Source organism: Homo sapiens, chromosome 10 (assembly GCF_000001405.40).
Source record: "Homo sapiens chromosome 10, GRCh38.p14 Primary Assembly".
In the NCBI taxonomy this organism is placed as follows: Eukaryota; Metazoa; Chordata; class Mammalia; order Primates; family Hominidae; genus Homo; species Homo sapiens.
In genome coordinates this window covers 79,397,187-79,420,696 of record NC_000010.11, presented here as the reverse complement: position 1 = coordinate 79,420,696, position 23,510 = coordinate 79,397,187, and the positions used below count along the sequence as shown (strand labels likewise).

The 23,510-nt window shown below is 56.1% G+C and overlaps 1 protein-coding gene across 2 annotated transcripts in view, besides 8 other annotated features; it reads left to right on the top strand.

The window, feature by feature from the left end:
* The window catches only part of ZCCHC24 (zinc finger CCHC-type containing 24), a 63,300-nt gene that overhangs the window by 24,928 nt on the left and 14,862 nt on the right, over positions 1–23,510 (top strand). The window lies entirely within an intron of this gene.
* Positions 6,780–7,288: an enhancer, noted in NCBI's record as "H3K4me1 hESC enhancer chr10:81173165-81173673 (GRCh37/hg19 assembly coordinates)". NCBI's record gives its function as "activates a minimal SCP1, AML or CMV promoter by ChIP-STARR-seq in naive H9 embryonic stem cells {active_cell/tissue: H9 hESC(naive)}" and the evidence as "EXISTENCE:reporter gene assay evidence [ECO:0000049][PMID:30033119]".
* Positions 7,289–7,799: an enhancer, noted in NCBI's record as "H3K4me1 hESC enhancer chr10:81172654-81173164 (GRCh37/hg19 assembly coordinates)". NCBI's record gives its function as "activates a minimal SCP1, AML or CMV promoter by ChIP-STARR-seq in naive H9 embryonic stem cells {active_cell/tissue: H9 hESC(naive)}" and the evidence as "EXISTENCE:reporter gene assay evidence [ECO:0000049][PMID:30033119]".
* Positions 14,519–15,326: an enhancer, noted in NCBI's record as "H3K4me1 hESC enhancer chr10:81165127-81165934 (GRCh37/hg19 assembly coordinates)". NCBI's record gives its function as "activates a minimal SCP1, AML or CMV promoter by ChIP-STARR-seq in naive H9 embryonic stem cells {active_cell/tissue: H9 hESC(naive)}" and the evidence as "EXISTENCE:reporter gene assay evidence [ECO:0000049][PMID:30033119]".
* Positions 16,000–16,500: a transcriptional cis regulatory region, noted in NCBI's record as "chr10:81163953-81164453 region (GRCh37/hg19 assembly coordinates) targeted for CRISPR interference". NCBI's record gives its function as "negatively regulates PPIF gene expression in LPS-stimulated THP-1 monocytic cells {active_cell/tissue: THP-1(+LPS for 4hr)}" and the evidence as "EXISTENCE:mutant phenotype evidence [ECO:0000015][PMID:33828297]".
* Positions 16,000–16,507: a biological region, named in NCBI's record as "CRISPRi-FlowFISH-validated PPIF regulatory elements GRCh37_chr10:81163946-81164446 and GRCh37_chr10:81163953-81164453". NCBI's record gives its function as "regulatory_interactions: PPIF".
* Positions 16,007–16,507: a transcriptional cis regulatory region, noted in NCBI's record as "chr10:81163946-81164446 region (GRCh37/hg19 assembly coordinates) targeted for CRISPR interference". NCBI's record gives its function as "negatively regulates PPIF gene expression in THP-1 monocytic cells {active_cell/tissue: THP-1}" and the evidence as "EXISTENCE:mutant phenotype evidence [ECO:0000015][PMID:33828297]".
* Positions 16,943–17,751: an enhancer, noted in NCBI's record as "H3K4me1 hESC enhancer chr10:81162702-81163510 (GRCh37/hg19 assembly coordinates)". NCBI's record gives its function as "activates a minimal SCP1, AML or CMV promoter by ChIP-STARR-seq in naive H9 embryonic stem cells {active_cell/tissue: H9 hESC(naive)}" and the evidence as "EXISTENCE:reporter gene assay evidence [ECO:0000049][PMID:30033119]".
* Positions 20,762–21,262: a transcriptional cis regulatory region, noted in NCBI's record as "chr10:81159191-81159691 region (GRCh37/hg19 assembly coordinates) targeted for CRISPR interference". NCBI's record gives its function as "positively regulates PPIF gene expression in THP-1 monocytic cells {active_cell/tissue: THP-1}" and the evidence as "EXISTENCE:mutant phenotype evidence [ECO:0000015][PMID:33828297]".

Here is a 23,510-nt window from a genome sequence, read left to right as displayed (position 1 = left end):
AGTTCAAGCGATTCTCCTGCCTCCTGAGTAGCTGGAACTATAGACATGAACCACCACACTAGGCTAATTTTTGTATTTTTAGTAGAGACAGGGTTTCTCCATGTTGGCCAGGCTGGTCTCAAACTCCTGGCCTCAAGTGATCTGCCCGCCTCGGCCTCCCAAAGTGCTGGGATTACAGGCGTGAGCCACCATGCCCAGCCTACTGTCGTTATTATTATGCCTCAATTCCGCTGTTTCAAACTGGCTTGAGAAGTCCCAGGGTTCTAAGAGACTGCTTCAGCACTGTGGGGATCCACAGAGGTGGCTGGAGCCCTCCCTTCCCACCCTCATTCCCTAAGGGAGGGGCTGCCTCTGGGAGGGGCTGCAGAGAGGCCAGGTGACAAGGCTGTGCTTTCTCAGGGGTCTTGGGGAGGGGACAGGGGAAGGCCCAGATGACTTTGAGTCCCCCAGGTTGTGCTGGGGGGACTCTGCTGTGCCCAGGATGGGTGCTGTGGGAGGAGGGGCGATGCACAGCTGGAAGGTGCCCAGTGCCGCCTGTGGGCTGTCAGTTCCCCTATGGCCCAGGGAAGAGGAATCTCTCTCCAAGTGCTTGCCTAGGAGCAGCTGCTGGGGGTGGAGCAGGGGTGGGGGATTGGAGGGGTGGGGCATGGAGTGTGAGGGCTCATGGGGAGCCACTTTTATATCCTTCCTGCTGCCTCTTGCCTGGCAGGAAAGAGCCTAGGAGGGCCAGTTTCACATCCTCAGCTGCCAGTTCTGCTTTTAGAAGAATTGCAGATGATAATTAGGAGTCCCCAGGAATCTCGATGGGTCAATGGCCTCACCTTCCCAGCCCTCTGCTTCTGAGCCTTAGGGACAGAGATGTTGGCAGAGCCTAGGAGCCAGGACCAGTCCTGGTCTTGAACTACCTGCAAGGCCTAGTGAATGGAATGCTGGAGCACAGCAAGTGCATCCTTAAGCTGAATAGCTCCAAGTGTCACCTCCTTTGGGAAGCCCTCTCTGATTTCTCCTTTCCTCCAAGCTCAGAGGGACTGGCCTCCTCTGAATGCCAGAAAGGCTCACTCACTCACTCATTTATTCCTCACCTGCCAAGGGCCTCCAGTGTGCCAGGCCCTTGGCCTGCCCCTCTCACATGGCTTTCCTTTGTCTTGGAGTAACTCAAGTGCCCTTTGCTGTGAAGACTCCGGGGAAGGTTCTGGCTGGGACATCCCTTGGTCCCTCAACCTCAGTAAGAACAGGAGAGCCCCAGGCAGCGGAGTCTCACTGAGCTGGACTCAGAGTTCACTTTTGCTCTTTCCCAGCTGTGTGTCCTTCGCCGTGTTGCCCACCTTCTCCCAGGCATCTGTAAAATGGGTTCACCATCCTTGCAGAGTGTGTGTGGAAAGCGTCTAATGCAGGGCTTGGCATCCCACAAGCACTCAGTAAGTAAGTGGCAGCCCTCACTGTTGGTATCACTTGTTAGGCCGTGGGGCTTCCTGAGCCAGATCTGCCCTCATTTGTAAAGTGAGGCTCATGTACCTGATGGGAGGGTTGGTGTGAGGGAGATGAGAAGCAGCCCGGATACCTGGGAAGCAACACCCACCGGAGCCCCTCTCCTTCTCCCTGACCCACCCCTGCAGCTGCTTAATTTCATGCATGCACGCAGACACATATGTGCACACATGCAAACGTGCGTGCATGCACACACCCCTTGGGCTTCTCAGCCTCAAGGCCTTGCTCACACTGTCCCCGAGTCTGCAATGCCTTTCCCGAATCTCTTCTCTCCTATCCCCCTTTCAGAGCCCAGCTTGAGCCCACCTCTCTCAGGGAGTCTTCCCCAACCATCCAGGGCCTCAGAGCTCTCCTCTCTGAACCCTAACTTGTCAGGACAGCACCCCTTCCCCAGAACCTGGTTTTAAGGCCCTCAAGAGGTAAGAAATCTCAACCAGGTTTCTCATCTTTCCCCCATCCCCATCTGGCCCCTAGGGGACAGAGAATGCCCCTCTTTGGGTGGGCTTCACTCTGCCCTGCCCCAGTCCTGGAAGGTAGCCCAGCCTGGGCCGTTTGACCTCTGCTCAGCCTTCTCATCCCCACTCCACCTGTGCTATGGCCTTAGCCAGTGACTCTCTCATCTCCCCCAGGTTCAGCCCAAACACGTCCTCTTGCATGGTGCAGCCCCTATGCCCTTCTATGCCCCATGTGCTCCTGCCTTGGTGAGTCGTGCCTAGCCCAGGGCCGGTCCTGGCACAAGTCTGTCTCCTACTTCCTGAGGTCACTTCCCAGGCGAGGTCTGTGTCTGCCTGGCAGGCAGAGGGAGCATGGCCTTGGGGTCAGAAGGCCCGAGCTCTCATCCCAGGGCTGTCTCTCTAGCTGTTCAACATTGGCCAAGTTGACCTTACCCTTGGGCCCCCACACCCCCATGCATGAAGTGGCATCAGCAATGAAGCCTGTCTCTCAGGGCTTCTGTGAGATCCAGAGGCGATCAGACAGGTGAACGCGCTTTGAGAACTGTGAAGTTATACCATTTGCTCCACTGCCCAGCGAGCAGCCACATTTGCTGAGATGATCAGAGGTGTGCGAGCGAGGGTGTTTAGGCCTTGGTGGCTGCTGTGAGCTGACCCCTGCCTCAACTGCCATGGGGTCTTGGAGGCATATTTGTGAGGGCAGCATTTTCCCTTTCCACCATGTCTGGGGTGGCTGCCCAGGGTGGAGCCTGTGTTGGGTGCCTCCTGCTCCCAGTGGCTTTGTGTGGAGTGGGAGGTGGCCCAGCTGGGGCAAGGTGGCCAGATCCCAGCCTGTGGGTTAGAGGACTTGGCACCACTGACCTGGCCTGACTTGGAGACATGGCTCCTCAACACACCGCCCCCACTCCCTCCCATTCCAAGGCTCAGGGCTCAGAGAAACGGGGCAGCAGGTGCAGGGAAGAAATGTGCATGGAATGGGGGTGAGGAGCCCGAGGACATCAGGCCTTCCTCATGCCTGGCTCACGGAGCACCTTCGTCTCATTTGCTGGCTGGGTTCTTACACTCACCTGGATGTCATCTGTGGCCCATGTGCCCACTCTTCTTCTCTTTCTTCATCTCTGTCTCTCATCCTTTCTTCCTCTTTTCTTTTGTAACAGATTACATAACTTGCCCCTGGTCCCACAGCTGGTTAGGATCAGGCCAAGTCAGTCTGACCTTAGGCCGTGCCTTTCCCACTGCTCCCTCTGCCCACAACAACGGATGGGGGTCCATCCTCTAGGACATGCTGTAGACCTGCTGATCTCCAGCCCTGGCAGAAATCAGGCTGCAGGAGGCACTGTGAACCCAGGCCTTCCTCCCTGCCTGGCTTCCTCCAAGTTCCCTGGCTGTGTGGGAGCCACAGGTCTCTCCCTGACAGGTTGGGGTGATGGTGAGGTGGAGGGGTGCCCCCAAAGCAGTAGGCATGATGACAAGGGGTAAAACCCAACAGGGGCCCATGCTCCTCTGCTCCTTCCTGGGGACTGTGAAGCTCAAACAGAGCCTTGTGCCCCTCCCTCCCGCAGGCCCTCTGAGCCCTCCCCATGCATCAGTCCTCCCTCTGTGTTCCCAAAACACCCTGCACAAACGGCTTAGTATTTTGTATTCTCTTTTGATTGTGATCCCGGGGAGGGGGAAGGCTGGCAGAAAATCACTTAGCGCAGCACCTGGCACATAGTGAGTGCTCAGCAAGTGTGAGCCATTGCGTTGCTGTGGCTTCAGTGCGCCATCCACAGTGTCTGCCGTGGTGCCCACTCTGAGCAGGGCCCCGTCATAAGGGAAACATATTAACAGCACAGCAGCTACACGCACAGGGAGCGCTCACTGTGTTCCGGGCACTGCTCTGAGCACTTTTCACCCATTGACTCCTCTAATCTTCTCATGGCCCTTGTGCTGGACACTCTTCTTATCCCCATTGCACAGAGGAGGAAACTGAGGCACAGAGAGGCTAAGTGACTTGCCGAGGGTCACACAGCTTGGACATGTTCCCCAGCAGTCTTGCTTCAGAGGCTGTGCTGTCATAAATATGTGCAAAAAAAGGAAGAAATGAACAAGACTCAGGATGTGGAGGAGGAAAGAAAGGCAGGGAGCTAATGTTGACTGAGCATCCTCCATGTACCAGCACATCACTGATGTCTTCAGAGACGTCAAGGGATTCGCCCAGAGTCACACAGGAGCCAAGGGCATGGCTGGGATTTGAGCCCTGGGTGATTTCTAATCCCCTCCTCCCCACCTTATCCCACCAGCTCAGGCCTCAGAGAGCCAGCACAGTTCATCAAGGGCCCCCTGGACACCCCCAGCAGCCTTGGACCACATAGCTGAGTTGGAGGCAAGACAAGGAATTACTCAGTGAGGCCACTCATTACCAACGCGTTTGGTTCTAACCAGCCATAGGTGAGGAGTTTAGAGGAAGGAGCAGAGCCAAGTGGGCGACCTTGAATAAGCCCATTGCCCTTGCCACACCTCAATTTCCCCTTCTGTGCAGTGGACCCAGCAATATGCATCCTGTCCCTCTAGGCTGCCGTGTAGGTCTTATGAGCTAACAAAGCTGGAAATGACGAAAGCCAAGCTGAACAAAAGTTAAGAGCTTTGTAGGAATAAAAATACTTTTATTTATGAACATCTAAAGGCTTTGCCTAAAAGTGTGGTCAGTGGACCGGCAGCAGTGGCAGTACCTGGAGCTTATCAAAAATGCGCAGCCCGGGTCCTCAGGCTCCACCCCAGTCCTGCTGGGTCAGAGTCTGCATTTTCACAAGCTTCCCCCATCACCCATGGGAAACACTGGTCTAGGAATTTCTTGCTTCTCAGTTCCCCATTCCCGGAGGCTGCCTCTTGGGCCTTCTTTCCATAGCCTACAAGGGGTTCTTGGCAGGAAATTCCCATCTCGTTGGAGAAAATGCTGTGGCCCAGCCAGACCCCTGCCCTGCTCAACTGCCTAGGAGATATGAGTGCATCAGAATTAAGCTGAAGTTGGGCAGAGGCTCTAACAGCCTCTGTCACTCCAACAACCTCTGATGAGACCATTTGTTGGGAGTGCAGCTGCCACCAGAATCAACAAGGCCTTTCAGACCTGGGAGAGGGTGCAGGGAGGAGTGAGGGGGTACCCTCAGCCTGGGCTCAGTAGGGCTAGGGGTTTCTTCTGAACAAAGGGCATTTGTACCAGATATTCTCCACCTTCACCCAGGAAGGCAAAAGGTTGAAACCGCAGTTGGAATATTCCAGGTTAGAAATAAGAAGCAACGTCCCAACTGATCAGGAGCAAGCCAGCCAAGGACACTGAAGACTCCATCCCCTTAAATGTGTGGCCAGTGTGTGTGAGGTCAAGAGGCAGAGCTGGAACGGATTCCCAGAGGCCCTCTGCCCACCGTCCTGCCCTGAGACCATTTTGACTTCAAGGGGCCAAGGGACTCACCTAAGGTCACATAGCAAGGAGCCCTGGGTTCTGATTCCCTGTGCCTGGGGCCCCTCTTCATTGCAGGCCTTCCTGGAGGCTGGGGAGTGACCTTGATGACCTTAGCAACCTCCCTTGAAGCAGCCTGGAGGTTTTGAGCATGTCAATGGGAGGACGGGAGGGGCTGGCTTTGTGAGCCTAGCAACTCAGTGTGTCTCACTGTGTCTTAGCCTTCATGGTACCCAAGATCATTAGGAATACCCCAGGGGCAGAAGTCCTCTGAGACAGATGCGGTGAGTCAGGGACAGGAAACCTGGACCCAAGGGGTCCAGGTAGAGGAAGCAAGTAGAGGCTTGGGAGGCCTGACATTGATGAAGAGCCTGGGGACCAGTGCTGTGTATCCTTAGGCCAGTTACTTGCAGTCTCTGTTTCCCTATGTGTAATATGGAGGAGAGGTTAGACAAGATCAGTGATTCCATCTCGGGCTTCACATTAGAACCACCTGGGTTTTTTTTGGTTTTGGTTTGGTTTTTGGTGCTAGAAATTTGAATTCAGTAGATCCAGGGTGGGCCTGGCCAAGGGCATATTCCTAGCTCCCCAGGTAATTCTGACGTGCAGCTGGGCAAAAGCACCATTGCCAGGTCTGAGATGGTGGGGTGCTCTGGCAGCTGTGGTGGCTGCAGGTGATCATAACCACAATTATCCTCCTGAGGTCCTGGGAATGCAAGATTACAAGGTTCCGGGAGACTCCCAAATGAACATTCCAGAGGTTCTAGATATCCAGAGGTTCCAGATGTTCAACCTCAGATTCCCTAGGTCATGTGACTGCAGCTTTATTATTCTGAGAAGTGAAGCTTCCCACAATGGAGGATTCTGACACTTGAGTGTTCTGGTTTTGTGACTTTAAGAGTGTGAGATTCTATAATCATTCTGTATACCTCAAGTACGTGCTTCTGAAACCTTCCGTGTGTTTCTGTGTTCCAACTGCAGTTATTATTCTTCTCTAAAATGAAGATTCTCCATGTCTGTAATTCCAACACATTCATTATCCCAAATTCTAGAGACTCCAAGAACTTAAGCTATTGTGGCACTAATATTTTTTAAAATTCTAAATTCAGCAACTCTGTGACCTGTCATTCCATCTGGGCAGTTGGCCGCCAAGGCTTGGGCCCAGACTTTGTCTCCTTGAGACAAGGTGGTGATCGTATAAGCTGGGACACGTGCCCCCTCACCTCCTTGGCCTGGAGAGCCTGTCTTGGTGGAAGGGGTGAGGGTGGGGAGAACAGAGACCCCACGGAGCTCTCACTTCTTTGGCTCTTCCTCCAACACTGGCTGTAGAGGACTGGAAGGTGGAGCAAGTGTGAGGGGCACATGTGGCCATGCGGCAAGGAGGGCAGCAGGTGGACATACAGCTACATCCCCGAATTGCTGCTTGTATCCACCCATCTCACAGCAAAGCTGTGAATTCTCTGTGTCAGACTGGCTTAGACATTAGAGGCTATCACATCCGAAGCACCTCCCTAAACTCTCTCTCTCTCTCTCTCTCTCTCACACACACACACACACACATGCGCACGCACATATACCCTTTTTCCACCTAGGAAAACTAAGGCCCAGAAGGAGGAGGTGACATGCCTGATAGAGCTGGCATCCAAACCCAGGGCCCTGAACTCCCGGTTGTCATTGCATGGTCCTTTCCAGCTAGTCAGGCCCAGGTCTGGCTTTCTGCACAGAACCATCAGCTTTCTATAGCTGACTTTCAGGTCCCTCCAAGGGGACAGGGACCAGCCCGGTGACTCAGGATTACACATTTAAAGCCTGTAGCCTGGCGGATTTCACTAGGCCCAGGAGAGGCTCCCCCTGCCCCCGCATGACCTCCTGGCCGTTTCCTGCCTGCCTGACCACAGTCTTCCGTTCCACTCCCCCAGGACGGGTGCCCGCCTTGTGCCAGTGCACATCAGGCTCAGAGGCCAGGAGGCAGAGGCTGGGCTGGAGTCAGGCGTGGGGAGGGGTCCCGCCACTCACTCACTGTGTGACCTTGAAAAAGTCTCTCCACCTCTCTGGGCCTCTCCATGCTGTGGGCCGGTGGATGGTAATTGACAGAGTTACTGTGAGGATTAAATGAGACCCCAGGGGAAAACCCAGCATGCTGGGAGGGGAGGGGCAGAGGCTGGTCACATCCACCGCCCACTGGTCCCCTCAGCACTGAACCCATTTTGGATGAGTGGCTTGTGTTTGTTGAAGGTGTCTGGGTAGACTTCCATATAATCCTTCAGAGATAAAATGATGGATTGCAGACTCTCCTGGGCTTTCAGAAGGTTGGCTGGTAGAGGAGATAGAGTCCAAAGGCCTTGGACACCTGAGATTTAGGCAGATGTCCAGAAAATGGTGATGATGATGTTGATGGTGGCTATTGTTAACTGAATTCCAGCCATGTGCTTGGTACTCATGAGCTCCTTAAAGCTTCTCGACTGCCTGCCTGATCGATCTTATTATCCCTACTTACACGGGGGAAACCAAGGCTCAGAGCATTTCAGAAACTTGTCGAAGCTCTTGCCGCCAGTAATGGCTAAGTTGGGATTCAAACCCAGGTCTCCAGGACCGCACAGCCAGAGCTCTGTTTCACTTCGTACTCAGCTAGAAGAGGGGACGCAGGGCCACATGATGGATGGTGGCCATCTCTCTACGTGGCTGCAGGCAGTCCACGGCCAGGGAAATAGAAAGACATTTTCTAGAAGAGATGCTAGTGGTTGCCTGTTTTCCTCCCTCGGTGGGATTCTCCCAATTTTCCATGTGGCTATTTTTATCACTTTTAGAAATCTGGAGCTGCCTGTGGCTGCCCAGTCCCTGGAGATGGGTGGAACACACAGGGCTCTGCACAGCCACCCACACCATGTACGTACGCGGGGCTGCCAAGGGGCGAGGGTGTACACGGGCATGTCCGCCCCTCACCGATGCACCTGTGCACACTCGCACAGAGGCTCATGCCGCTGCAGGCTGCTGCCAAGTCCAGGGGACCCAAGAGCTTAGCAGGAAGCTCCTGAGCTACCTCCCTTGGGGTTCTGGAGCCATGGGTCTGCCTTGGCCACTCACTTCCTTGTCAGTTGACTTAAAACGGAGTTGGCAGGTCATGCCACGGTGCGTTCCGCTCGCTCCCTGTGTGCATGCATGCGTGTGTGCATGTGCAGCTGCAGACCTGTGCACACCCAGGCCCAGTTCAGGGCACAGGCTCAATGCCCCCTGTGGAGGCGTAGCAGGAAGTCCTTGCTCCAGGGCTTCTAAAAGCCAAGACTCCCCACGTGGTTCCTCCCACTCGCGAGATTCTGGCCTTCTGGGCTTCTGGGAGCCAGGGAAGGGCAGGAGAGACAGCCAGGGCTCTGTAAGGGGCACATGTGGGGTGCTCCAGGGACTGGGGACGGTGGACTTGCTGGGGGTCCTGCCCTGGCAGAGCAGGTCTCTGGGGCTGAGAAACCTTCTCAGAGTGGGATGGCAGGGTCCTGGGGCTGAGCATGGCACCTCCAGGAGGGGCCGAGGCCTCCTGGAGGTCTCCTGACCCTTCTTCTGTCCTCACAGTTGCTTCAGACTCTCCCTAGCACTGGCCTGGGATCCCAGGAGGCCTGAGCTTGGCCCTGCCTCTCACAGGCTGTGTGGGCTGGAGTCCCCTGGCCTTGGCCTCCTCCTCTGGAAAGTGGGGCACCCGTGGGCAGTGGAATGAGACTTTGGCAGTCCTGCTCTGTGCATATACTGGGCACACTGAGCCCTGGGAGGCTGGGGCCACCTTTCCCTCTAGAATCTGGTTCCATCCTCTCCCTCCTGGGTTTTCTTCCGCTGCAGACTCAACACCCCTTCCGTTGAGTCCTCCTTCATGGCTCTGAAGAATTGTTTTGGGGCCCAGCAGGCAACTTGGAACAGTGGGGAAAGCCCTGGCCTGCCACCGTGGCCTGTGTTCACATGGTTCCTGCTCTGAGCCTATTTGCTCACCTGCAGGGGAGTGTGTGTGTGTTTAATTATAGCACCATGCCAGGATGCCTGGCCACATTAGACTGTAAATCTAAAGACAGAGGTCAAGGCCTCTTTTTACCAGCCCCGAGGTGATTTTCAAATCAGCTTTAGGGTGGATCATACCCCCAAGGGCACCTTGAGCAGGCTCACATGACAGGTTTATAGGCGATTCCTGAGGACAGGAGCCAGGGCAAACAGTTATCATGAGGCTGCCATCCATCACTGTTGCCTGCTGTCCAGTGACGGCCAGTCCTCCTTCCGTCCATCACTGCCGGCACAAGACACCGTCATCACCTTCCCTTGCTCCACCCTGGCCTTGTCCCCCAGTCAGAGCCAGGGCAACCATGGGCCAAGAGGGGAGCTCCTGCCTCAGCCCCCACAGCCCCGCAGCTGATTGAGGCCACACACCTGGGAGTTGCTCTTGAGTCCTTGCTCTCCTCCCCCAAGGCTAGCCCAAGTGCTGCTGACTCAACCTCCTGCCATCTCAGGGGTCTCTCACTCTTCTCCCCTCTGCCACCCATCCCCAGACCACACCCCCACCACCTCTCCCCAGCAATGTGGCAGCACCCCCCTAACTGGTCCCCCCATGTCCAACCCCTCTGTCCACTCAGCAGCCAAAGAGATCTCACAATGCCAGGCAGACTTTCGCATTTTCAGCGCTTCCCTGGCTTCCCATACTCCTGGGCTGATATTTAACTCTAAGATATGGTCTAGGACCTGGACTGGCCTGGCCTCCAAGCCTCAAGCCCTCCATGCTTCCCGTGGTCTAGCCCTTTGCACAGGCTGCTCCAGCCCCACAGGGCCCTTTCCACTGTGACGTCACTCCTCCCCAGCCATGCTGGCCAGATGCTCCCAGAACATGGGGCTCTGCTCATCCTGAGCACATCCCAGAAGGCCAGATCAGTGTTCAAGCATGCTACTTTTGTCTGACTGGTCATCGTGTATTTATTGAGTACCTACTATGTGCCAGGTGCTGCTCCAGGCATGGGACATTCCATAGTGAACAAGAAAGATGAGGAAAGAATGCAGTTCCCAATCTTGCAGGATGACAAATAGTAAAGAAATTGACACCAATGGATATGCTATGGTGGCAGGTCATATTCAAAGACAGTTGTCAGGGATGGTGTCTCTGAGGACATGACAACTTGAGTAGAGACAAATGAAGCAGGAGCAAATGGTGTGGGCATCTGGGGGAAGGGTATTCCTGGCAGAGGGAACAGCAAGTGCAGAGGCTCTGAGTGAGGCACAGATGTGCTTGGCTTGTTTGAGGAAGAGCAAGAGGGCCAGAATGGGCCTCCTGACAGCTCCAGCTCAGAGGGAGAGTTGGCTGGGAGGGGAGGGGCGGAGGCACAGGGTTGAACGCATCCCCTGCCTTGCTCTCCCTTCTCCCGCCTCCTCCCCCAGCTGGGCAGCTCTTCTCTGGGGGACACAGATGGGTGCTTGTCTTGAGAGCCCCCGTCCTCCCCCTGCTCCTCCAAACACTCGCAGTGGGGACAGGAAGTGTCGGCCCTCGCCTTCCAGCTGCCCGGGTGGGACACCACTGAGCTGGGCTGGCCTGCTCAGGGAGGGACAGAGGCCCTATTGAGCCCGTTCCCTGGACCATCAGGGACAATAGCCACACTGAGGACCAGGAACAGCGACCAGCATGCTTGCCCAGGAAGTTGCCAGGCCGCTGCCTGCCCCATCCCCACACCTCCCCTACCCCTCTGGCTTTCTCTTCCAGATACTTCTCTCAGGCTGATAGTCATGTCCAAATGGTCACTTGCCCTTCACCTGCTCCCCAGAGCCCCCTGTCCTGTGCCAGACCCACGCTGGGCCCAGGGAATCAGAGGGGACCCCTACAGGGTCTCTGTCCCTGAGGAGAGGGCAGGGAAGGAGGTGACAGACACATGAGCTGAGAGGGGTGTATCCTAAGTGCTTCCTACAGAGATCCACAAGGTACAGGGGGTCCCTGGAGGGCAGGGGAGATGTCTGCTAGAAGTGCTGGTAGGAAAGGCTCCCTGGAGGAAGAGTCACAGTTCTAAAGAGCTTCCGCAGCCAGGGTTGTGCTTTGAAAGCCCAGCACCCAAGTGGCCCAAGCCTGGCAAAAACTAGCCTCTGTTACATGCCCAGAGGTGTGCAGAAGCAGTGGCCAGGACTTGGACTCTGTCCACTTCTCAAGCCTGTGTGCTGTCTACTCATGGAACTATTTGCATTGGAAGGATCTTTAGGGATCATCTAGGTCAGGAATGCCAACTCAAGTCATGTGTGCCTGCTGCCCCCGGCCATGGCAGGGCAGGCACCACGAAAATCACACCATTCTTGCCTGTCGAGCTTGGATATAGCTGCAGAATCCTTCACACCACAGTAGTTTTGTGGCAAGTTACGAGTGGACACACAGGGAGAAGTATTTGCCTTTCCTGATTTTACTTTATCCCCCCATCATGGACAGATGGGGAAACTGAGACCCAGGCAGGGAAGGGGCTTATCCCAGGTCACAGAGCTTGCTGGTGGCAGTGTGTAGGGACTGGGTCAGGGACAGGAAGGAGGTCAGAAACACCCACCTTTTGCAGTTTAGGCTGTGAACCGTCAGAGACTGGGAATGGGAATGGTTGACTGCCCTGAACAGACCTTCTGTATGGCTTCTCACTGTGAAGAGGGGATCCCCATTCTCCTCTGCCACGACACCCCATTCCTTCATATCTCTCATCACAGCTTTAATGATCTGAATGGGATACTTACTTTTCTTCCGCGCCTGGCTGTAAGTTCATGGGGGCCGGGGTTGCATCTGTCTTGTTAACCACCCTCCTCCAGTGCCTTGTGGGTGCCTAATTCATAGTTGTCGAGGGCACATGTGGAAAGGAAGTAAATGCACGTGGTGATTGGTGCTCCAAAGCCTTCCCTGCTCCCTGGCTGGTTGTTTGGCCTGCAGACAACAAGCGGGATCCCTGGGGGCACCTGGGATCCAGGCATCAAGCTGGTCAGATACATGCCAGTATATAGTAAGCAGCTGGCCTAACCTGGGTAGTCCCTGAGCTCCCTGCAGGGAAACTGAGGCCCAGAGTGCTATAATCATAAGCCAGGAGTCGTGCAGGCAGAGCAGGGAGCTAAGCTGGGGTCAACTGGCTTCCGTCCAGGCTTCTGGGCACCCAATCTTGCCACCAGCCTCCACATCTGTAGCTCAGGGGCTGACTTTTCCCAACAGCTGGGCCCACTGGGAGCTGTGTGTGTTGGTGCCAAGGCAAACATCGGTGGTGGAGGTGGGGGCAGGAGGTGCCTGCAGGCTCTGTGTTCCTTTGCCTTCCTGAACAGACAGGGCTGGAGCCCCTGAGCAGCCCGGCCTCCTGCTCCATGATCATTGTTCCCGGTGATGGTTTCCAGATGCTGAGGAGTCACAGGTTTGGGGCTGGGCCAGGAGAGCCAGGCCAGCCCTCCCCAGTACCCCGCCGCCACTGACACCACCGCCGGTCTTGCTTTTAAAGAGATGGGCCTTTCTCCCCCAATCCAGGCTTTCCCCTCTCAAGCCCAGCAGCCTCACTGTCCTGCAACCAGCCCAGCTCCTGGGGTGAGGAGCCCTGCGCTCCACTCCCAGCTCTGACCCTAACTTCCTGTATGGCTTGAGCAAGTCACTTGCCTTCTCTGTGCCTCAGTTTCCTGGGCTGTAGAATGGGCAGATGGGGACAGCATGGAGGTGACAGTATCTGACTGGACTTTAACAGACTGTGACCAGGATCACTGGGGCGGTGGCTCCCTAGGTGGGTCCCCAGACCAGCAGCAGCTGCACCGCCCAGGCATTTGAGACTCTGGTTCTCAGGCCCTCCCCAGACCTATTGATTCTGAGACTCTGGGGCCAGGGCAGCAGCGTGCAGTGTACCAATGCCCCGATGGTCCTGTGCGTGCTCTCGTGAGCGAAGAAGAGCGTGTGCTCTAGAAGCAGGGGCTCAGGAATCTGGAATCAGAAAGACGAGCACAGCCGTATGGCTTCAGAATGAGCCTTCACTTCCTGCTGGGGAATGTGGACTGGCGCTCCCAGCCCTGTGTGTGGCATGGTTACTGTGCAACAGTCAGCCTGGCTCCCACACCACCGAGTGCTCCTCTGGGACAGGCGCTCCCTGGGGGCAGGTCTGCACCTGGCTGGCGCTCCACCCCATCAGCACTTTAAAGGCGCTGTCTCAGACCCTAGCAAAGAGGCCATGTGTGCACACAGGTTGCGGGGCGTGTGTCCAGCTTGCCTTCAGCAGGTGTAGAGGGGGCCCTAGGGTGGCACTGTGGCACAGAGAGTGACAAGAGGAGCCCTGGGGCAAGGGGACAGAGACCAGAAGGGTCAAGGAGGCTTCCCGGAGGAAGTGCAGCTTCCACTGGATTTGGTTGGGAGGCAGGGTGTGCCAGGTAGTGAGACTGGGGTGTGTAAAGGTGGGTATGAAAACAAGTACCACCAGCCAGCCCCTTCTCCTTCTCCTCCCTTTTCAGGGCACCAGCGGGATTATTGTCCTGTGGGGCTGTCCACAGACAAGGGCAAGGAGGTCAGAGCTCAAGGCCATGTAGGAGGCATGCGGCGTTGCAGCAGTCAGTCAGGCCTGGGTTCAGATCCCAGCTCTGCTGTTTCCTGCCTGTGTGACCTCAGGCAAATCTCTTAACCTCTCTGTGACTTGGATTCCTCATCTGTAGGGGTTACAGGGAGGATGAAATGGCTGGTGGAGGTAACCCCACACATAGCAGGAGCTGTGAGGGTTTTAGAGCCAGGGAACCTGGGGCCCAGGCAGGGGAAGTGACCATTTGGGGACACTCCATCATCCTGCTTCCTGCAGAGCTTCCTGCACAGAACACCCTCGCCTTTGGGGACAGTGGAGAAAGGTCAGTTTGGGAATGTCTTTCCAGCCCCTTGGTGAAGAAGCAGGGTCAGCAGGGGTGGGAAATGTGAGGCTTCCTTCCTCCCTGCGACCCCCCTGTAAAAGTCACATAAGAGCAGCTCTTCCTCTGCAGAGCTCCCCTCCACCCAATTGAAGAACAGGTGCCACAGGTGTCCTTTGTACCTGTCCATGGCCTTCTGGACCTCCGATATCTCGCTCAGCAAGGAGGGAATTGGGCAACAGGGAGAAAGGCCATGGTTCGAAGCCTTCTGCTTATTTGCTTTGTGACCTTGGACAGGTGACTTAACCTCTCTGAGCCTCTATTTCCTCACCTGGAAATGGGATCACAATGAAGCTACCTACAGGTTGTGTGCGTGGCCAGCCCCAGCACGCAGGGGAGACTCAGCACTCTCCACCCCGGTCTGTGGTTGCCACAGTCTCCTAAGTGCTGTGAGCTCCAGCGCTCACCCAGAGATGGAAAGTTTGCTTCTCTTTCTACCCAGATGAGGAGATCGAATCCCAGAGAGAGGAGGTGATTTATGTGAGGGTTTTGCGAGGCTGGAAGTCACGCCCACAGCCTCTTGCCAGGCAGCAGTGGGGGCCTCAGCCCCCAGGCCTCTGCCAGAGTGGCCCCAAACTGCTGACTTCAGCATTTCACTGGCCAGGGCAGATCAGATTTCTTTTCTGGCACTTGGCCACCCTGCACACCCTTCCCCCATCACTATTTTGAGCTGAGCTCCCCTGTCCCCTCCTCCCAGGGCTGTGGCCCTCACACCCAAAGCCTCACTCCAGGCTGAGGCCTTTCCACCTCTTGACCCACCACCTTCCCTCCAGCCAGGGAAGGCTGGGCTGGTCACGGCCATGTCTATCCAGGCCTTGCCAGGGACGCCTTCAGACACAGAGCCAGGGGCCAGCTGCCCTGTGCAAATGGCGCTGCTAGCTCAAGACAGCCGTCCAGGGTGCTCAGCACTGCCCAAGGAGGCGTCCTGGGACTGGACAGAGCCCACGCCATGATCAGCCCTGGCATTGCCACCTCCTACCTGTGCGACCTCCACCCTGCCCTAACTTCTGCTGTCCACCTCACACCTCACCCTTTGCAGGCACTGCCACTCCTGGTGTCCCCTCCAGCTGCCAAAGGATTCTGAGCCCCAGCCTGAGCCTAGTGCTACCATAGAAGTGAGAGGTGTGGAGGGTGCACCTGACCGCAGCACACAGAGAGGCTTGTGGGAAACAAGATGGCAGTAGGGGAATTTCGTTTAAATTTCGGGTGAAATCTCTGAGTTTGGCAAGCTGGAGGTTGGGTCAGGGCAGGACATGACCTAGGGAAGATCATGTCTCTCGCCTTTCCTGGAGCTAAGCGTGTGGTGCAAACCACAGAGTCCCCTGGAAGTTCAGGGAGAGGGCCTTCTCCAGGGCAAGGCGGCGGGTGGGTTCTTATCTCCACACCAGCCAGCCTGGGACTCAGCAGTGGAGTGAGCTCCTGAGCAGTGCATTAGCCCTCTCTGGGCCAGGGAGACCAGGGTGCCCCTGGAGCTTGCTCTTGAAGGGTACATGGCTGTTCACTGGTGAAGTGTTGGGTACAGGGAACAGCAAGAAAAAGGCACAGATGGGCAGCATGTCACTTGCAGGGAGTGACTTTTCTTTATTTGAGTGTAAGTGCTGTGGGTGGAAGGTCAGCTGGGGCCAGAAGGGGAAGGGGCCCGAATGCCTTGCATGTTTCATCTCAGCTCTGCGGTGAGGCCCAAACCTGAAGTGGGCCTTCATTTAAGTATTTGGGGAGATTCTGCCTGGCCCAACTCAGGCGGTGACTGCAGCAGGAGAGAGAGGTGCAGTCGGAAGAAAGGTCTTGCTGAGCAAACGGGACCCAAAGAGGGATGTGCAAGATCTGGAAACAACAAATGGTTTTCAAACTCAATAGTCCCCTCCAGCAATCAGCAAACAGCAGGGTGGCTGCAGATCTTCCATCCACCCACTAAGGCAGCCAGCAATCCCTGTCTCTGCAGTGGCGGAGGAAACCTCTGTCTTTTGCAATCCCTGTGATTCGGAAGCTTTCCACCCCTCTGGACCGGCCCCTCTTCCCCTCCCGCCCCTCCGCTCTGATCCGTGTGGTTTGCTAAGGGAGGAAAGCCAGAGCAGGAAACAGATAACTTAGGGAGTGGCTGTTCATGTGATTAAAATGTCTTTGCTTTCCAAAAAGTTTTGCCTGAGATTACTTCAAATCGCCTGGCTGGGGTGGGATTTGGAGAGGGGGCTTCTTGCTGCCTTCTGGGCAGCAGCGCCTCAGGGCCGGGCACAGGGCTGGAGGCACGGGGTGTTGGGGGGCTTGGCACTTCTCTGGGTCCTGGAGGGGCTCCTTGGCCTCTGTGGGCCCCGTTCCCCCGAATGTCTCTGTCTCCCAGCCCTTTTGGTTTGTTTCTGCATCATGTCTCGCCTCTCCTGGGCACCCTGTCCCCCCTTCTCCTCTTATCTGCTCTGACGGGCGCTCTCTCACTCCCTGCCCCTCATTCCCAACATCGTGTCCTCACTCCCTGTCTCTCCAGGATCTCTCCCTCATCTCTCTGTCCCCCGCTTGTTTTCTCCTCTCTATCTCCCTTCCCTCCTCTCCACACCCCCACTCCATGCCCCCCTCCCCAGGGTTTTCCTGAGGCCTTTTCCTGTCCCTGTGAAAGCTCCCATTGTTCCTTGCACTTTGACAAACCCTAGTGTTGTGGAATCAGGATGGCATTTTTGTGGTGGCTTTGGGCTGGGAACGGGGGTGGGAGGGGTGACAAGAGGCCAGGCCTTCTGGGCCCATGCTGGGCTGCAGCAGGAACCCAGAAGAGGGGAGGGGGCCCTGGGCAAGGAGGCGAGGACGGCTGTGCGCAGACAAGGAGGCCCTTGAGGCTCCAGAGGAAGCCCCGGGTGGCCTCTTGCCGCGTCCTTCCTCCCTCCCAGCATCCTGCAGGCCGCGGCCCAGCCCACCTGTCCCTCTGACCGCCTGCTTCCTCCGGGGCCTCCGTGGAGCCTGCAGCTGCCCAGACCAGGCTGCAGGGACGCAGCCCTTCCACCTGCCTCCCCCGGCCGTGCATGTGGACATGTGAGTGTGGAGGTCTTTGGTTGGTCCCTAAAGCAGTACCACAGAGCACAGAGGGGAAGGAAAAGCCAGGGGCTCAGCACTTGGCAGACTTGCTGCCCCTGTCTCGAGCCTCAGTTTCCTCATCCGTCATTAGGGTTAAGAGTGCTGATTCAATGAGGCCGTGGCAGTGATCAGAGATAATTTCATGTGGCATGCATAGGTCCCATGCCTGTCACTTGGGAGGTCTGTCTGGCCTCTGCCTGAGGGCGTGAATCCAAGTGTGTTTTCACAGGTGTGAGTCCGACTTGGGCTTGAGCCCAGGAGTATGTGGCTAGGGGAGTTCGCGACTGGTGTGGGTCACGGTTGGGGAAAGGGTCACAGGGCTGACTTCTTTGGAAGGCCTTGGACTGAGAGCTCCATGAAGACAGGGCATTCTTCATCTGTCTTGTTTCCATATTTCTGGAATTTTCCACAGAGCCTGGTGCAGAGTGGGTGCTCAGTGTAAATTAGGTGAACAAATGAATATTGAGGTGGTGGCCAGGGTCGGAGGTAAGAGGTGCGGCTGTGTTCCTAGGAGCAGGCTTTTTCTTTAATTTTCTCTCAACCGTCTCACGGAGAGGCCGCACATTCAGTGGAAAGTGTCGTTTTGGAGTCAGCAAATTGGGTTTAAGTTCTGGCTCCATGGCTGTGTGGCCTTGAGCAGGTTGCTTGGCCTCTCTGTACCTCAGTTTGCTCTCCTGTTAAATGAAAGAGCTCTGGAGAGCCAGGTCAGAAAGCGTGTGGCACATTGTAGGTGCTCATTGAATGCTAGTGTCTCCAGCTCCACCAGAGCAGCCCCCTCACATGGAAGATAGAAAAACCAAGGCTCTGGCCGGGCACAGTGGCTCACGCCTATAATCCCCACACTTTGGGAGGCCGAGGCGGGCGTATCACAAGGTCAGGAGATCGAAACCATCCTGGCTAACACAGTGAAACCCCGTCTCTACTAAAAATACAAAAAATTAGCCGGGCGTGGTGGCGGGCACCTATAGTCCCAGCTACTTGGGAGGCCAAGGCAGGAGAATGGCATGGAACTGGGAGGTGGAGCTTGCAGTGAGCGGAGATCACGCCACTGCACTCCAGCCTGGGTGACAGAGCGAGACTCCGTCTCAAAAAAAAGAAAAAAGAAAAAAAAAGAAAAACCAAGTATCTAAGACAGGCGTGGGAGAGCCAGGGCCCAACCTGGACCTCTGACCTCTATCCCCTGTTTACTCCGCACTGCCCCAGGCTCAAGGAGAGACACTAGGGAGAATGACCAGGGACCTTCTGCCTCCTCTGGTAAAGGCCTCCAGAAAGGGCCAGCAAGGCCACACAGAGGATCCTGGGCTGGGGTCGTGAGTCCGTGGTCAGCCCTGCGCCCCCTCTGTGGACTAGTTGCCCCACCCCTGTGGCCTCTGTTTCTACATCAGTGGAAAGTCTTTCTCGAACTCCTGAGACCGGGGCTCTTGCTCTCTGGGAAGGTAGACTGGAGCCCAGGGCCACCTCAGCGGCCGGGCTGCAGGAAAGCACGCAGACTGGGCAGACCGGGCAGGACAGGGGCCAGCAGGCAGCCCATCTGTTCTTTATTTCCTCCCCCTGCTCCTCTTGGCTCCAGCCAGAGCCTCTCAGCTGGACGCACGGTGGGGTCGGCCTTGTGCTCCATGGGAGGGCGGAGCGTGAGTGGGCTGCCAGGCACATGCTGAGTTATGGGCCTCCTGGGAGGCCAGTGACCCTGCCCAGCAGTCAGTCCAACCTCTCATTCTGGAGATGGGAAAACTGAGGCCCAGAGATGGGGAGGGATGCCCCCAGCATGCCAGGACCCATGAGAACAGCGGCCCCTTCCCGTTTCTCACCATCCCGGCTTGGTGGGTCTCTTCTTTGTGCAATCCTGGCATGTTGTGTAGCAATTTAGAAAGTGAGCCCACGTTAGGTGGCTTGGGCTCGGATCTGGACTACCCCATTTCCTGGCAGCGTAGCTTGGGCAAGCCATGTAACCTCTACATGCGTCAGCGTTCCCATCTGAAACCTGGGACTAACCGTACTTAGCTCATGGATGGTTGTCGGGACACAAAGAGTGCCTGGCCCTGACCAAAAATACCCAATGTTGGAGCAACAGTGATTTCTCCATCCCAGGGTTTGGCAGGGCACAGGCCTGCGCCCCTGTGCAGATGGGAGTGGCAAGGCCAGGTCTGGGGGTGAGGCACATACCTCAGGCTGGGAGGTATCGAGGCCTATAGCTGGAACCCATATCCAGAGGGCAGAGGCCGTGCATCCTGGGGCACAGTGCAGCCTGGAGTCTTGGCGTGCAGGGCACAGCCTCAGGCTCTCAGTGCCCACCCTGCTCTCCTCCTGGTCCCTATGATTCTCTGCCTCAACAACCAAAGGCCACAATGTCACCTCTGTGCAAAAGGGACTCATTGTCTAAAAGGGATGGGGAGATCAAGCTTCACCCTAAAGGATCACTCACTCGTGGTGGGACTTCAAGCACCTGGAGGGGAGTGACCAGTCAGGCTGTGGTGTCACGTGACAGTGTGTGGACATGTCTGGCTTCCCTTAAAATGGAAGGAGCAGAAGGGACCCAGGGGTGGGGAGTGCATTCCACAGTTGGGGGGCTAGCTCTATGGACATGAGTATGATCCAACAGAACCAGCAGCCTGAAGCCAGCCAGTGCCCAGGCCCCAGGGTCCACACCTGCAGGGGCAGGAGTGTGGCCACAGCCACCATCTCTGTGGGGTTTCTGTCACCTTGGGAAAGCACAGTGCGCCCCCTAGGGGGCAGGAGGGGCCTGCAGGCCAGGGAGTGGGCTGGCTACCATCTTCTTCCAAGCCATACCCACTCATTAAAGGCAATTCATTCATTAAGACAGAGCATAAGCTGCAGAAGTAAGATCATCAACAGTCCTGTCTCTCAGCCCTTGTGGCTGCTTTCCTGCCAGTCCTGTTCTTGTGCAGCGGTTATCTTCGGTTGCTTATCCTGCTCTCTTTATAAGTATTTTCCCAAACCCCGAACAAAAATCACCATAACTATTTTAGTGGCTTTATTGTCATTCATCCAAAGGGTATAACGTAATTTAGGGAACCCGGGCATTGTTGTTGAATGTTTCGCTCATTCCAGATTTACATTGTCCTAACTCATGCTGTAATGGACATTTTTGAACACCCCTTTTGTCCGCATGTCTGATAATTTCCTTGGGATAGTCGCCCAGAGATGGATTTGCTTAGGATAAGGAATGCACATTTTTTTAAAGTTTGAAGGCTTACAGAAGTTTGAAGTTGTCCTATAGAAATACAGTAGGAAAATATACCTGTTCAGCCCCCACCCCAGCAGCATCTCAGAGTGCCTGTCTCCACACCTGCCTGGTTGGCCTTTACCAGCTGCAGGGGTTGGGAGGACTGTAGAGTTGGAAGTGCCTCCAGAGTCACCAGATCCACCTGCCTGACCAGGGCAAAGGCCCCCTCAGCAGCCTCCCTGATACTTGTTCTCTCAGCCTCTGCTTGCATACCCCCAGTAAAAGGCAGCTCACCACCTCCCAGCCAACCTCAAGAGATTTCACGCAGGGATGGGAAGAAAACACTGAACCATTCTGAAGAAGTGCCCAGAGAGTGTGAGCCTCCTCCACATCTCTTCCGAAGCCGCTGGCTTGCCCGGGGGGCCCCTCCCACTTCCCCGCCCTGCAGCGCTGCCTTCTCTGCTCCTTGGCTTGGCTCCTCCTTCCCACCCCCATACTGGCCACAGCTTCCCACTTCCCAGGCTGCCCTCGTGTGAGGATCCCAGCCTCACTCTGGAAGTCAGAGGATCCTTCCCTCCCCCGAGCTCAGTCAGATTTACTGAGTGTGTCCTTGAGTGAGTCCCCTTGCCTCTCTGGTCCCCAAAGGGCCTGTCTGTGCTACAAGGAGTGGTTTCTGAGCTCCAGTGAGCTTTGCCCAGGCTCCTGGCAGATGTGATCCCCCAGAGGGGTACGTGGCAGGGGCCTGGGTCAGGAGAGCCTGGTCAGGCCTGGCTTCCTTCCCAGCCGGGCGGGTGGTGGCCCCTGCAGTGCTGTCAGCAGTTACCGTCTGTTTCATGCTGAAGTTTATGAGAAGAGGCCGTGCCTTTCTGGGAGGAGGCAGGGGGGTGTGTGGTGAGTAGAGAAGCCTTTGTTCCGTTAGAAATTCCTTCTCCCCTTGGCCCTGCCCTCATTTGTAAGCATAAACAACGTCGGGACTGAACCCTTCCAGGAAATGGCTCCTTGCTGCTAAGAGCTGCCCACAGTCCTTCTTCTCCTCCATCCACTGCCTTTACCCCTGCCCTGTAGGCCACCTCTACCGAGGTCACCGCCAAGGCCTGACACTGGACTGGGCTGAGGGGAGGCCCTAGGAATTTTCTTATAAAATTCCTGCTAGGGGGTCTCTCCCCACCAACACAAGCCTCCATCATGGTGGGGGCAATTTTGGGGGTGGCAGACAGAAGAGGTGGGTCAAGTGTGGCCTTGTGGAAGAGCCTGCTGAGCCTAGCCTGCTGCCCTTCACGCACTGGAAGCACTTTGGCAAGTCCCACCCCTTCCCTGTGCCTCAGTTTCACCATCTGTTAATAGGTTGATAATGTCCCCTGCCCCACAGGATTCCAGGAGAGTTGGCTGGGGGTCTGACGGGCTGTGGAGTCCTAAGCATAAAGCCCAGCACACAGGTGGTGCCACACAAATGCCAGTTCTCTTTCCTCTTTCCTCAACCTCTGCCAGCAGTGTCCCCAGAGCTTCTGCAGCGTGGTCCTTCCATGAGAATTCTAGAAAGCGAAGATGCCTAATGCTGTTTCTTCTTTTGCTTGCCAGTCCATTCCTACCCAGGGATAGAGAGCTACCCAGATATCCCTCCCAGGTTTCCCTCCCATCTCTGGAACCATCCTCCTGGGACTAATGCCTGTGGACCTCAGCCCTAGCCTCGGCAATACCTCAGACACCTCTGCTCCCTCTCCTAGTGCAGGCAACGAAGAAGAGAATCACCCTGAAATAGCTAATGGTGACCGAGCACTTGCAGTGTGCCAACCACTGAGCTGAGACCTTTACACGCATGAATGTGTCAAATCCCAACAGCCCCGGGAGGCAGGTCCTTTATCATCATCCTGGTTTCCAGATGAGGAAACCAAGGCACAGAGAGTTTGAATAACTTGGCGAGGAACTCCCTGGATAGTCACAGGCAGAGCCAGATGTCATTGCAGGCATCTGGCCCTGGAGACCACAATTGGAGCCACATCCCATGCAATGGCGTGTTGGAGCCGGGCCCTCCCAGTGCCTGGCCTGACAGCAGCCGTGGGAATGGTGCGCTGAGGACGTCTGGTCCTGCAGGAGGCTGGGGCCCCATCCCTTGCCTGCCAAGCAGCCCACACGCCCTGACGGACGGCTCCAGACGGCTGCTTTTCTAATTACATGGTGCGTCTGTGCTTCCTGGCTCACCCCTCGCTCTTCTCTTTCATCTTCCTGTTCCCTTCGGTTCTCACTCAGTGTCTTCTTTATCTGTGTGGGTTTTCTTCCCGTTCATTTCTGAAGCAGGGGCTCTGGGAACAAATTCCCAGAGTCCACCTCCAGTCTGGCCCCAGTCCCCACGCTTCACTCTGCCCAGTGTCCTGGAATGACTTGACCCCTCCTTCTGGTACCTTGACCCCTGTCCTTTGCCCCAACTGTGTGAGGCCAGGCACCAGGTCCTGTGAGCTCTCTGAGCTCAGAGGCCTGCAGAACCAGATCCAGAGTGGGCCTGGCTGGTGAGAGTCCCCAAGTTCCCACCTTCGATCAAGGAGTCTCAGACCTCAGCATCAGGGAGGCACCCATGCCTGCCCCCTCATCCCCTCTGAAGACGTAGATGCTTCTGGGGAGACATGGGGGAGTGAGTTCATCCAGTGCTTTATTTCAGATAATGGAAGATGAGGGGTTGTGATAGAGGGGGTGGCTTAGAAGTCACAGGTTCCAGACCCCAGGTGAAGGAGAAGGTAGCACCAGAAACAGTCAGAGGGACATGCACTAACTTGAGATCAACAGAGCTCAGTGTGCCTTCAGAGGCACACGTTGACCCCTCTATTACAAACTGACTGGCCCCGGGCCCTAGCTGCCCACTGAGCACTCCCCTGGGTGTGGCTGACCCCTTTCTCAGATCTGACCAGTGCTGAGGGCAGCCCTGCCCTGGAGCTCAGGCTGAACCTTCTCCCAAGAATGTTACAGCTGCCAGGAAGGCCACTGAGGATCCAAAGACGTTAGGCAGTGGGCCCAGGAG